Source organism: Homo sapiens, chromosome 9 (genome assembly GCF_000001405.40).
Source record: "Homo sapiens chromosome 9, GRCh38.p14 Primary Assembly".
NCBI lineage: Eukaryota > Metazoa > Chordata > Mammalia > Primates > Hominidae > Homo > Homo sapiens.
Genome location: NC_000009.12, coordinates 102,312,976 through 102,326,193, shown reverse-complemented (window position 1 = coordinate 102,326,193; position 13,218 = coordinate 102,312,976). Strand labels below are relative to the sequence as shown.

The 13,218-nt window shown below is 38.5% G+C and overlaps 2 annotated features.

Annotated features, from left to right (window-relative positions):
• Window positions 2,520-2,689: an enhancer, noted in NCBI's record as "experimental_104183 CRE fragment used in MPRA reporter constructs". NCBI's record gives its function as "activates a minimal promoter by MPRAs in K562 erythroleukemia cells, with activity observed for the non-introgressed 9:105085872 variant allele {active_cell/tissue: K562}" and the evidence as "EXISTENCE:reporter gene assay evidence [ECO:0000049][PMID:34662402]".
• Window positions 10,661-10,830: an enhancer, noted in NCBI's record as "experimental_104178 CRE fragment used in MPRA reporter constructs". NCBI's record gives its function as "activates a minimal promoter by MPRAs in K562 erythroleukemia cells, with activity observed for the introgressed 9:105077731 variant allele {active_cell/tissue: K562}" and the evidence as "EXISTENCE:reporter gene assay evidence [ECO:0000049][PMID:34662402]".

Sequence of the window (13,218 nt, the reverse complement as noted above, 5' to 3'; positions counted from 1 at the left end):
GGTGTTTAGTGTTTGCAGCTTTTCCAGGTGCACAATGCAAGCTATCAGTGGACCTTGAATTCTGGGTTCTGGAGGATGGTGGCCTTCTTCTCACAGCTCCACTGGGCAGTTCCCCAGTGGGGACTCTGTGTGGGGGCTCCAACCCCACATTTCCCTTCCACACTGCCCTAGCAGAAGTTATCCATGAGGGCTCTACCCCTGAAGAAAACTTCTGCCTGGACATCCATGCATTTCCATACATCCTCTGAAATCTTGGTGGAGCTTCCCCAACCTCAATTCTTGACTTCTGTGTACCTGCAGGCTCAACACAGTGTGGAAGCTGCCAAGAGCTAGGGCTTGCACTCTCTGAAGCAATGACCTGAGCTGTATCTTGACCCCTTTTAGCCAAGGCTGGAGTGGCTGGGACGCAGTCCCGAGGACGCACACAGCAGTGAGGCCCTGAACTTGGACCGTGAAACTATTTTTCCATTATAGGCTTCCAGGCCTGTGATTGGAGGGGCTGCCATCAAGGTCGCTGGCATGCCCTGGAGATGTTTTCTCCATTGTCTTAGTGATTAACATTCTGCTCCTTGCTACTTATGCAAATTTCTGCAGCAGGCTTGGATTTCTCCACAGAGAAATGGGATTTTCTCTTCTATCTTATTGTCAGGCTGTTTTTTCCAAACTTTTATGCTCTGCTTCCTCTGGAATGCTTTGCCACTTAGCAGTTTCTTCCACCAGATCCCTAAATCATCTCTCTCAATTTCGAAGTTCCGCAAATTTCTAGGGCAGGGCCAAAATGTTGCCAGTCTCTTTGCTAATGCATAGCAAGCGTAACCTTCACTCCAGTTCCCAACAGGTTCCTCATCTCCATCTGAGATCACCCTAGCCTGGATTTCATTGTACATATTACTAGCAGCATTTTAGTCAAAGCCATTCGATAAGTTTCTAGGAAGTTCCAAACTTTCCCACATCTTCCTGTCTTCCTCGCCCTCCAAGTCTCTATGGGAAACTCCAAATTTTCTCACATTTTCCTGTCTTCTGGGCTCTCCAAATTGTTCCAACTTCTGCCAGTCACCCAGTTCCAAAGTTGCTTCCACATTTTCAGGTATCCTAATAGCAGCACCCCACTCTCTTTGGGACAAATTTATTGTATTAGTTCATTCTCACACTGCTATAAGGATGTATTTGAGACTCAGTAGTTTATAAAGGAAAGGTTTAATTGACTCACAGTTCCACAAAGCTGAGAAGGCCTCCGAAAACTTACAGTCATGGCAGAACAGGGAGCAAACACATCCTTCTTCACATGGTGGCGGGAAGAAGAATGAGTGACGGGGGTGGGGAGAGAACGTCCCTTAAAAAAACATCAGATCTCATGAGAACTCACTATCATGAGAACAGCAGCATGGGGGAACTGCTCCTTTGATTCAATTACTTCCGCATGAGTCCCTCTCATGACATGGTTGGGATTATGGAAACTACAATTCAAGATGAGATTTGGGTGGTGACACAGCCAAACCATATCAATAATTATTTTTATATATTGATGAATTCAGTTGTTAATGTGTTGATGAGGACTTCTGCATTTATATTAATGGGGGACATTGGTCTGTGGCATCCTATATTAATTTCGCATGGCTGATGTATCAAATACCATAAACTTTGTGGCTTAAACAACACAAAATTATCTCACAGTTTTAGAAGCCAGAAGTCCAAAATCAGTTTTATTGGGCTGAAACCAATGTGATGGTGGGGCTATACTTCGTCCAGAGGCTCTATGGAAGTATCTCAGCCCTCTCTTTTCTAGTTTATAGTGCCTGACTTCATTCCTTAGATTATAGTTGCATCACTGCAATCTTTGCTGCATCTTTACATTGCTTTCCCTTCTGTGTGCATCAAATGCCCCTCTTTCTTCCACTTGTTAAAATATATGTGACTGCAGTTAGAACCAATCCAGGTAATTCAAGATAATAAATTATCTCCCCATCTCAAGATATTTAGCTATATTTGCAAAGACCATTTTTTACCCTTCATATGAGATAACACTACAGGTTCCAGGGATTAGGATGAAGACACCTTTTTTTAGAGGGTGGAAGGAAAATTTTTCAGCTTATCTTTTTTAGTTCCTTTTTGTGATACCTGTTCCAAAAGGCATTCTCATATGCACAGTCTTTCTACGCCTGCTTGGCTATGTACAAATGGACCTTGGACCTAAATCACTTTCTTACAAGGAGATAAAGAGCTCACATAGCCCGTGCTGGGTTTATCACCTTGTGCGGAAATATATTTCTCTATTGCAAGCTTAAGGTATATTCTTCTGTTCTGCTTAAGCATGTGGGTCACATGGCACCTGGCCAACTGCACTATATATCTGTCCTCTGTGGGGAAGGAACAAGGTTTTTCTAATGAGGTACAAGAGTGTTGCATGTAGCCAAGTCCTTGTGTTGGCTGCCAGAGAGGGACCCACTATCTATGGAGGACTCATGCACATTATTGAAGCTGATTTTGCTCTGCCTCTTCCCTATGTAAGTAAAGTGTAGCTCCATTTAGTAGTTGACTGCATTGTGTTTTCTTTGGTGCCTTCAATGCCAAGATACAATAGGAAGAAGGTTTAGAGTGTTCCCCTGGAATTTATAACCATTGTAAGGTCTTCTGCTTAACAGTTCTGCTTAAAAATTTATTTATCAGGTTTTGCAATTAGGGTAATGCTGGCTTTATTAAATGAGTTGGCTCCCTCTGCTTCCATTTTCTGGAATAGATTTTCAAGAATTGATATCATTTCTATCCCAAATGTTTGGTAAACTTCACCAATAAAACCACCTGGATCTCATCATTCAGATCTAGTGAAACCACTAGGTCTGGTGTTTACTGGTGTTTTATACTTAAATGTCCTTTCTATATCTGCTTTCCTAAAACAGAAGATTTGAATGTTGATTTTAGAACTTTCTTTTCATCTACATGCATTTCTGTATGCATTCAGGGCTATACATTTTCTTCAGCCTGCTTTCCTAACATCCAACAAATTTAGATAAACAGTATTTTCGTTTTCATCTACTTCAAAATATTTAAAATTTTCTCTTGAGACTTCTTTACTAATCCGTATGTTACCTAAGTATGTCTTGTTTAATCTTCCAATATTTAGAAATGTTCCAACTATCTCTCTGTTATTTATTTCTACTTTAATTCCACTGAGATCTCATAGAAAATATGTTTTCTATTATTTCTGTTACTTTAAATTTATGAAAAGTTGTTTTAAGATCCACAATGTTTTTTTATTATTATTTTTATTTTGGTGAATGCTTCATGTGAGCAAATAAAATACGTACTCTTGCTGTTGTGGATTGAGTATTCTAAAAAGAGCAATCAAATCAAGTTGGTTGGTGATGCTTTCCAAGTCAGGATATTCTTTCTGATATTTTTCCTGCTTCACGTATAAATTACTATAAAGGGGTTGTTGCAGTTTTCAACTAAAATAGTGAATTTGTCTATTTTTCCTTGCAATCCTATCAGTTTGTGATGCAACTATGTTGATGTTCTCTTATTAGGTGCATACATAGTTAGAATAGTCTGTTTTTGTTTGTTTGTTTGTTTGTTTGTTTTTAGAATTGACCCCTCTATCAATATGTAATGCCTCTTTATTTCTGATAATTAGCATTGTTCTAAAGTCCACTTTGTCTTAAATTAATATCCTATAGTAGCTTTCTTTTGATTAGTGCCAGCATCGTATATCTTTCTCCATCCCTTTACTTTAAACCTATCTCAGTCTTTGTATTTAAGGTAGGTTTCTCATACAATCATATGGTTGAATCTTGTTTTTTATATTCAATTTGAAAATCTCTTAATTAGCATATTTAGACAATTCACATTAAATGTCAATAACATTAGATTAATATCTACCATTTTTGTAATTGTTTTCCACTCATTGCATTTTTTAATTGTCTTTTTTGCATCTGCTATTTTTCTGTGTTCTTTGGTTTTAATTAGGCATTTTATTTTATTCTATTTTACCTCCTTTATTCTATATAAACTGTACTTAAAAGTTAGTGGTTTCCCTAGGTTTTGGAAAATGTATTTATAACTAATCTGAGTCTACATTCAAATAAGACAATATCTATTCATATATAGTGAAGGCATCTTATGTTATTTTCATACCCTGTTTTCTACTTATTATGATATTGTTATTTATGTCATTTATCCATATGATATAATCACCTAATACATTTTTACCATTACTACTTTAAATACAATTACATTTTAGTTAAGAATAACAAAAATAAAATATTTTATTTTTTCCTTCACTGACATTATTTTTTTGGTTCCAGGTTTCTGACCTATATAATATTTTTTTCTGTCTAAATTTTTATAACATTCCTTACAGAACAAGGCTGCTGATAAATTGCTTTCATTTTTATTTGTCTTTATTTCTGCTTTACTTTTGAAGGATAATTTCATTAGATATAGAATTCCTGGTATTTTTTTCCCCAACACTTTTAAGTATTTTACTACATTGTCTTCCTGCTGGCATCAATGTTTCTGTGAGAAGTTTGATTATACTTGTTCTTCTCTAGGTAAGATGTTTTCACTAGCTTTGTAAAAAGTTTCCTCTTTGGCTTTATTATTTTAACTGCAGTTTGAAAATAATATGCCTATATGTAGAATTTTTTTATTTTATTTTGAGAGAGTCTCATTCTGTCACCCAGGCTGGAGTGCAGTGTCATAATCTCAGCTCACTGCAACCTCCGCCACCCAGGTTCAAGTGATTCTCCTGCTTTAGCCTCCTGAGTAGCTGGGATTACAGGCATGCATCACCATGCCCAGCTAATTTTTTTTTTTTTTTTTAAGTAAAGATAGGGTTTCACAATATTGGCAAGGCTGGTCTCGAACTCCAGACCTCAGGTGATCCTTCTGCCTCGTATTTCCAAAGTCCTGGGATTACAGACATAAGCCACCATGCCCAGCCTCAGTATTTATTCTGACTGGTGTTCACTGAGCTTTCTGAATCTACAGTTTGGATTGGTCACTAATTTTGGAAAATTCTAATCATTCAATTATCTCTTCTGCTTTGTTCTATCTTTCTGATCATTCAGTTATACATATGTTACAACTTGTAAAATTGCTACAGTTCTTGGACCCTCTTTTCTGGTCTTTCTCTTTTTCTTTCTTATTTTTCTTTGCATTTTATTTTTGGAAATGTATATTGATATATTTTCAAGTTCAACATACTAATGAACCCATCAAAAGCATTCCTTATTACCTTTAGAGTGTTATTTCTACTATTTCCTTTTGATTCTTACAATTTCTTCTCTTTGCTTGTGTTAGCCATTTACTCTGTACATCGTCTACTTTTACAATAAGATTTCTTAGTATATTAACATAATGTTTTTAAATTTCTTCTCTGATAAAATGTATTTTATTTTGATTCTGATTTTGATGTTTGATTTGTCCTTTAAGCCTGGGTAATTTTTCTTGTATCTTAAGATGTCTTATACATTTTGTTCAACTAGACATAATATATTTGGTAATAGGAAGTAAATAGATCCTTTGTGTGGGTTTATGTATTAATCTGTCTAGGAATTGGACTGTATTATGTTTGTTTGTTTTTTTATTTTTATTTTATTATTATTATACTTTAAGTTTTAGGGTACATATGCACAATGTGCAGGTTAGTTACATATGTATACATGTGCCATGCTGGTGTGCTGCACCCATTAACTCGCCATTTAGCATTAGGTATATCTCCTAAAGCTATCCCTCCCCCCTCCCAGCACCCCAAAACAGTCCCCAGAGTGTGATGTTCCCCTTCCTGTGTCCATGTGTTCTCATTGTTCAATTCCCACCTATGAGTGAGAATATACGGTGTTTTTTTGTTCTTGCGATAGTACTGAGAATGATGATTTCCAGTTTCATCCATGTCCCTGCAAAGGAAATGAACTCATCATTTTTATGGCTGCATAGTATTCCATGGTGTATATGTGCCACATTTTCTTAATCCAGTCTATCATTGTTGGACATTTGGGTTGGTTCCAAGTCTTTGCTATTGTGAATAGTGCTGCAATAAACATACGTGTGCATGTGTCTTTATAGCAGCATGATTTATAGTCCTTTGGGTATATACCCAGTAATGGGATGGCTGGGTCAAATGGTATTTCTAGTTCTAGATCCCTAAGGAATCGCCATATTGACTTCCACAATGGATGAACTAGTTTACAGTCCCACCAACAGTATAAAAAGTGTTCCTATTTCTCCACATCCTCTCCAGCACCTGTTGTTTCCTGACTTTTTAATGATTGCCATTCTAACTGGTGTGAGATGGTATCTCATTGTGGTTTTGATTTGCATTTATCTGATAGCCGGTGATGGTGAGCATTTTTTCATGTGTTTTTTGGCTGCATAAATGTCTTCTTTTGAGAAGTGTCTGTTCATGTCCTTCGCCCACTTTTTGATGGGGTTGTTTGTTTTTTTCTTGTAAATTTGTTTGAGTTCATTGTAGATTCTGGATATTAGCCCTTTGTCAGATGAGTAGGTTGCGAAAATTTTCTCCCATTTTGTAGGTTGCCTGTTCACTCTGATGGTAGTTTCTTTTGCTGTGCAGAAGCTCTTTAGTTTAATTAGATCCCATTTGCAATTTTGTCTTTTGTTGCCATTGCTTTTTGTGTTTTAGACATGAAGTCCTTGCCCATGCCTATGTCCTGAATGGTAATGCCTAGGTTTTCTTCTAGGATTTTTATGGTTTTAGGTCTAACGTTTAAGTCTTTAATCCATCTTGAATTGATTTTTGTATAAGGTGTAAGGAAGGGATCCAGTTTCAGCTTTCTACATATGGCTAGCCAGTTTTCCCAGCACCATTTATTAAATAGGGAATCCTTTCCCCATTGCTTGTTTTTCTCAGGTTTGTCAAAAATCAGATAGTTGTAGATATGCAGCATTATTTCTGAGGGCTCTGTTCTGTTCCATTGATCTATATCTCTGTTTTGGTACCACTACCATGCTGTTTTGGTTACTGTAGACTTGTAGTATAGTTTGAAGTCAGGTAGTGTGATGCCTCCAGCTTTGTTCTTTTGGCTTAGGATTGACTTGGCAATGCGGGCTGTTTTTTGGTGCCATATGAACTTTAAAGTAGTTTTTTCCAATTCTGTGAAGAAAGTCATTGGTAGCTTGATGGGGATGGCATTGAATCTATAAATTACCTTGGACAGTATGGCCATTTTCACAATATTGATTCTTCCTACCCATGAGCATGAAATGTTCTTCCATGTGTGTGTATCCTCTTTTATTTCATTGAGCAGTGGTTTGTAGTTCTCCTTGAAGAGGTCCTTCACCTCCCTTGTAAGCTGGATTCCTAGGTATTTTATTCTCTTTGAAGCAATTGTGAATGGGAGTTCACTCATGATTTGGCTCTCTGTTTGTCTGTTATTGGTGTATAAGAATGCTTGTGATTTTTGTACATTGATTTTGTATCCTGAGACTTTGCTGAAGTTGCTTATCAGCTTAAGGAGATTTTGGGCTGAGACAATGGGGTTTTCTCGATATACAATCATGTCATCTGCAAAGAGGGACAATTTGACTTCCTCTTTTCCTAATTGAATACCCTTTATTTCCTTCTCCTGCCTAATTGCCCTGGCCAGAACTTCCAACACTATGTTGAACAGGAGTGGTGAGAGAGGGCATCCCTGTCTTGTGCCAGTTTTCAAAGGGAATGCTTCCAGTTTTTGCCCATTCAGTATGATATTGGCTGTGGGTTTGTCATAAATAGCTCTTATTATTTTGCAATATGTCCCATCAATACCTAATTTATTAAAAGTTTTTACCATGAAGAGTTGTTGAATTTTGTCAAAGGCCTTTTTGCATCTATTGAGATAATCATGTGTTTTTTGTCTTTGGTTCTGTTTATATGCTGGATTACATTTATTGATTTGCATGTATTGAACCAGCCTTGTATCCCAGGGATGAAGCCCACTTGATCATGGTGGATAAGCTTTTTGATGTGCTGCTGGATTCGGTTTGCCAGTATTTTATTGAGGATTTTTGCATCAATGTTCATCAAGGATATTGGTCTAAAATTCTCTTTTTTGGTTGTGTCTGTGCCAGGCTTTGGTATCAGGATGATGCTGGCCTCATAAAATGAGTTAGGGAGGATTCCCTCTTTTTCTATTGATTGGAATAGTTTCAGAAGGAATGGTACCAGTTCCTCCTTGTACCTCTGGTAGAATTCGGCTGTGAATCCATCTGGTCCTGGACTCTTTTTGGTTGGTAAGCTATTGATCATTGCCACAATGTCAGAGCCTGTTATTGGTCTATTCAGAGATTCAACTTCTTCCTGGTTTAGTTTTGGGAGGGTGTATGTGTTGAGAAATTTATCCATTTCTTCTAGATTTTCTAGTTTATTTGCATAGAGGTGTTTGTAGTATTCTCTGATGGTAGTTTGTATTTCTGTGGGATCAGTGGTGATATCCCCTTTATCATTTTTTATTGCATCTAGTTGATTCTTCTCTCTTTTCTTCTTTATTAGTCTTGCTAGCGGTCTATCCAATTTTTTTGATCCTTTCAAAAAACCAGCTCCTGGATTCATTAATTTTTTGAAGGGTTTTTTGTGTCTCTATTTCCTTCAGTTCTGCTCTGATTTTAGTTATTTCTTGACCTCTGCTAGCTTTTGAATGTGTTTGCTCTTGCTTTTATAGTTATTTTAATTGTGATGTTAGGCTGCCAATTTTCTATCTTTCCTGCTTTCTCTTGTGGGCATTTAGTGCTATAAATTTCCCTCTACGCACTGCTTTGAATGTGTCCCAGAGATTCTGGTATGTTGTGTCTTTGTTCTCGTTGGTTTCAAAGAACATCTTTATTTCTGCTTTCATTTCGTTATGTACCCAGTAGTCATTCAGGAGCAGGTTGTTCAGTTTGCATATAGTTGAGCGGTTCTGAGTGATAGCCATAGATGCAATTTACTCTACTGTCTATTTTTGTCTTCCTATTTATTTTTGTGTTTGCCTAAGAAGTCCTTCTTTGATAGTCTGAATGACTTGTATCTCTTTGAAATTATGTTGTATTCCTGTTGTATTAAGGTGTGGGATAAAATACCTTTGTGATAAAATAACTTTATGAATTAACCAAAGTCCTTTAGGGAACCTATGTACTTGGGACATGGCCTTTACAAGTGTGTTTTCCTTGTTTTTAGCCTCTTAGGTGAGATGGGAAAGCTAAATTTGAAGAAATGTCCCTCCACAGGATGGTAATCTTTTCCTCTGGAGAGCCAGGCTTTGTTATGTAGAAAACTCTGGGCATATTTCAAAGTGTTTATTCATCCAGATCATCTGCCAGACCCTGGATAGAAGCTTTCTAGGCTCTTCACTGTGAGCACTTGATGGGAATACTGGAGGCAAAACCCAGTAAAAATGTGGTGACCTTCCTAAACTGCAGCTTCAAAGACCTTCTCACACTTAAGCTAGTCCACATTCAGCCTCCAATAATTCACCAAAATTGCTAAATAAATGTTCTTATCAGTTTCTGCTCTAGCTGAGTATGCCCCAGATAAGGTAGTCTTGACTGTGGTGCTGAATTCACCTGTCTTTTCAGATTGCAGGATAGTAGTTTACCTTGAGACTTGGTTCTCTCATTGGTCCAAAAAAGAAAAGCTATTGATTTTCAGTTGTATTTTTTCTTTCTTGTGAAAACTTTCAAGTTATTTTCATTTGATAGCTAAAAATGGAAGTATAAATATTATTCTTAAAACATAATTTTAATGGTATATGAGCCAGGCATATTATAATATGTATTTCAAATCCCTATTTGTGGACGTATAGTTTGTTTTCATATGTGTGCTGCTCTTATTCATAGCTCTGTCATAAATTCTTGTGCACACCATGATAATTCTTCTAAGATAAATCTCTAGAGATAACATTATTGAGACATCAAGAGTAGAGTTAATGCATTTGATAAATATTGTCAAATTGCTTCTGCAAAGTTTGTCTCAGCTTTCTACTGTACTACTGGATCTTGAGAAAACCTGTTTTTTTTTGGCAAATATGGGATGTTATGTTATCTTTTTATCTGTTTCATTTTGCTAGGTGAAAAATTCTATATCTATAATTTTATTTTTATTATGTTGGTTATGGTGCTGTTGAATATTTAGTTTTAATTACTGGCAATTTTTTTCTTCTTTTTGTATTCTGTGTTTATGCCCTATGTAGAATATACCAATTTTACTATTCAGGTTCTTGACATAAAGATATAACTGTGTCTGTGTGTGCGTGTGTGTGTGTGTGTATGTATGTGTGTCTGTGTGTGTGTGTGTGTAAGGATGGAAGAGAGGAAAGAGAAAGATGAGAATGTCTTGGATTAATTTTTCTCTTGGAACTGGCCCTGTATCCAAAACTGCTTATAAAAATCTAGACCCAGGCCAGGTGCGGTGGCTCACGCCTTTATTCCCAGTACTTTGGGAGGCTGAGGCAGGTGAATCACGAGGTCAGGAGCTCGAGACCAGCCTGACCAACTTGGTGGAACCCCGTCTCTACTAAAAATACAAAAAATTAGTCGGGCCTGGTGGCACATACCTGTAATCCCAGCTACTCAGGAGGCTGAGGCAGGAGAATCGCTTGAACCCAAGAGGTGGTTGCAATGAGCTGAGATTGCACCACTGCACTCCAGCCTAAGTGACAGAGAGAGATTCCATCTCAAAAAAATAAAATAAAAAAGAAAACAGAAAAGAAAAGAAAAAAAAATCTAGACCCATGTACTTGATGGTGTTTTGTAGCTCCAAGTGGTCATAGAGCTAGTCAACAAAAGGCTAGATATACAGTAATAACCTTTACTCAGCTTAAATCTTAGAAAATCAATACTCTAAACTTAGCCTGAAATACAAAACCCTGGGTTCATTGAAACCCCAGAGAAAAGACATCAGACACCACAAATTGGTAAGTTACTGAAGATAGTAAGTCTTTAGTACAGTCTGTCAATGTGACTTCTTGCCTATATCTAACCGAAAGTTAGAAAGCAAGATAATTTGTTAAATCAATGCGAAGAAATTAGCTTTTCTAGAAATGGAGCAAAGTGAAAAAGGGTAGAGAGGGCAAAAAGTGATGTTTTCCATTTCAAAAGGCAAGCTTGAGTGTGGGCTACCAAGCTCAGGATGCAAGTCAGTATGACAACTATAGAAATTGTATTAGTCCATTTTCATACTGCTATGAAGAAATATCTGAGACTGGGTAATATGTAAAGAAAAAGAGGTTTAATGGACTCACAGTTTCACATGGCTGGGGAGGTCTCAGAATCATGGCAGAAGGCAAGGGAGGAGCAAAGCTACATTTTACATGGTGGCAGACAGGAAAGCATGTTCAGGGGAACTGCCCTTCATAGACCCATCGGATCTTGTGAGAACTCACTATCATGAGAACAGCATGAAGGTAACCACCCTCATGACTAAATTAGCTCCCACTAGGTCACTCCCACAACACATGAAGATTATGAGAGCCACAATTCAAGATGAGATTTGCATGGGGACAGAGACAAACTATATCATTCTGCCCATGGCCCTCCCAAATCTCATGTCCTCACACACTCATGCATTCCTAACAGTCCCCAAAAGTCTTTACTCATTCAGCATTAATACAAAAGTCCAAGTCCAAAGTCTTATCTGAAACACAAGGCAAGTCCCTTCCACTTATGATACTGTAAAATCAAAAGCAAGCTAGTTACTTCCTAGATAGAATAGGGGTTCAGGCAATGGGTAAATAAACTCATTTCATGTGGAGAAATTGGCCAAAATGAAGAGGCTATAGGCCCCATGCAAGTCTGAAATCCAGTGGGGCAATCAAATCTTAAAGCTCCAAAATGATCTCCTTTGATGCCATGGCTAACACCCAGGTCATGATGATGCAGGAAGTGGGCTCCCATGGCTTTTGGCAGCTTCACCTCTGTGGCTATGCAGGATACGGCCCCCATCCTGGCTGCTTTCATGGGCTGGCAGTGAGTGTCTGAGGCTTTTCCAGGCACACAGTACAAGCCGTAAGTGGATCTCTCATTCTGGGGTCTGGAGGACAGTGGCCCTCTACTCATAGCCCCATGGGGACTCTGTGTGGGGCTCCAACCTCACATTTCCCTTCTACACTGCCCTAGCAGAAGTTCACCATGAGGGCCCCGACCTTCCAGCAAAATTCTGCCTGGACATCCAGGCATTTCCATGCGTCCTTTGAAATCTAGGTAGAGGTTTCCTAACCTCAATTCTTGACTTTTGTGCATCTGCAGGCTCAACACCATGTGAAAGCTGCCAAGGTGTGGAGCTTTCACCCTCTGAAGCCACGACCCAAGCTATATCTTGGTCTCTTTTAGCCACAGCTAGGGAGGCTGGGATGCAGGGCACCAAGTCCCTAGGCTAAACATAGCAGGAGAGGCCCTGGGCCCAGCCCATTAAACTATTTTTTCTTTCCAGGCCCCTAGGTTTATGATGGGGAGGGCTTCCATAAAGGTCTATGACATGCCCTGGAGACATTTTCCCTATTGTCTTGATAATTAACATTTGGCTCTTTGTTACTTATGCAAATTTCTGCAGCAGGTTTGAATTTCTCTCCAGAAGATTGGCTTTTTTTTTCTTTTTTTTTTTTTTTTTTTTTTTTTTTTTTTTTGAGACGGAGTCTCGCTCTGTTGCCCAGGCTGGAGTGCAGTGGCGGGATCTCGGCTCACTGCAAGCTCCGCCTCCCGGGTTCATGCCATTCTCCTGCCTCAGCCTCCCAAGTAGCTGGGACTACAGGCGCCCGCCACTACGCCCGGCTAATTTTTTGTATTTTTAGTAGAGACGGGGTTTCACCGTTTTAGCCGGGATGGTCTCGATCTCCTGACCTCGTGATCCGCCCGCCTCGGCCTCCCAAAGTGCTGGGATTACAGGCGTGAGCCACCGCGCCCGGCCGGCTTTTTTTTTCTTGCATTGTCAGGCTGCAAATTTTCCAAACTTTTATGCTCTGTTTCTTCTTGAACACTTGACCACTTAGAAATTTCTTCTGCCAGATACCCTATATCATCTCTCTCAAGTTTAAATTTCCACAAATCTCTAGGGCAGGGGCAAAATGCTGCCAGTCTCATTGCATAGCAAGAGTAACCTTTACTCCAGTTCCTAAAAAGTTCCTCATCTCCATCTGAGACCACTTCACCCTGGACTTTATCATCCATATCACTATTAGCATTTTGGTCAAAGACACTCAACAAGTCTGTAGGAAGTTCCAAACTTTCCCACATTTTCCTGTCTTCTTCTGA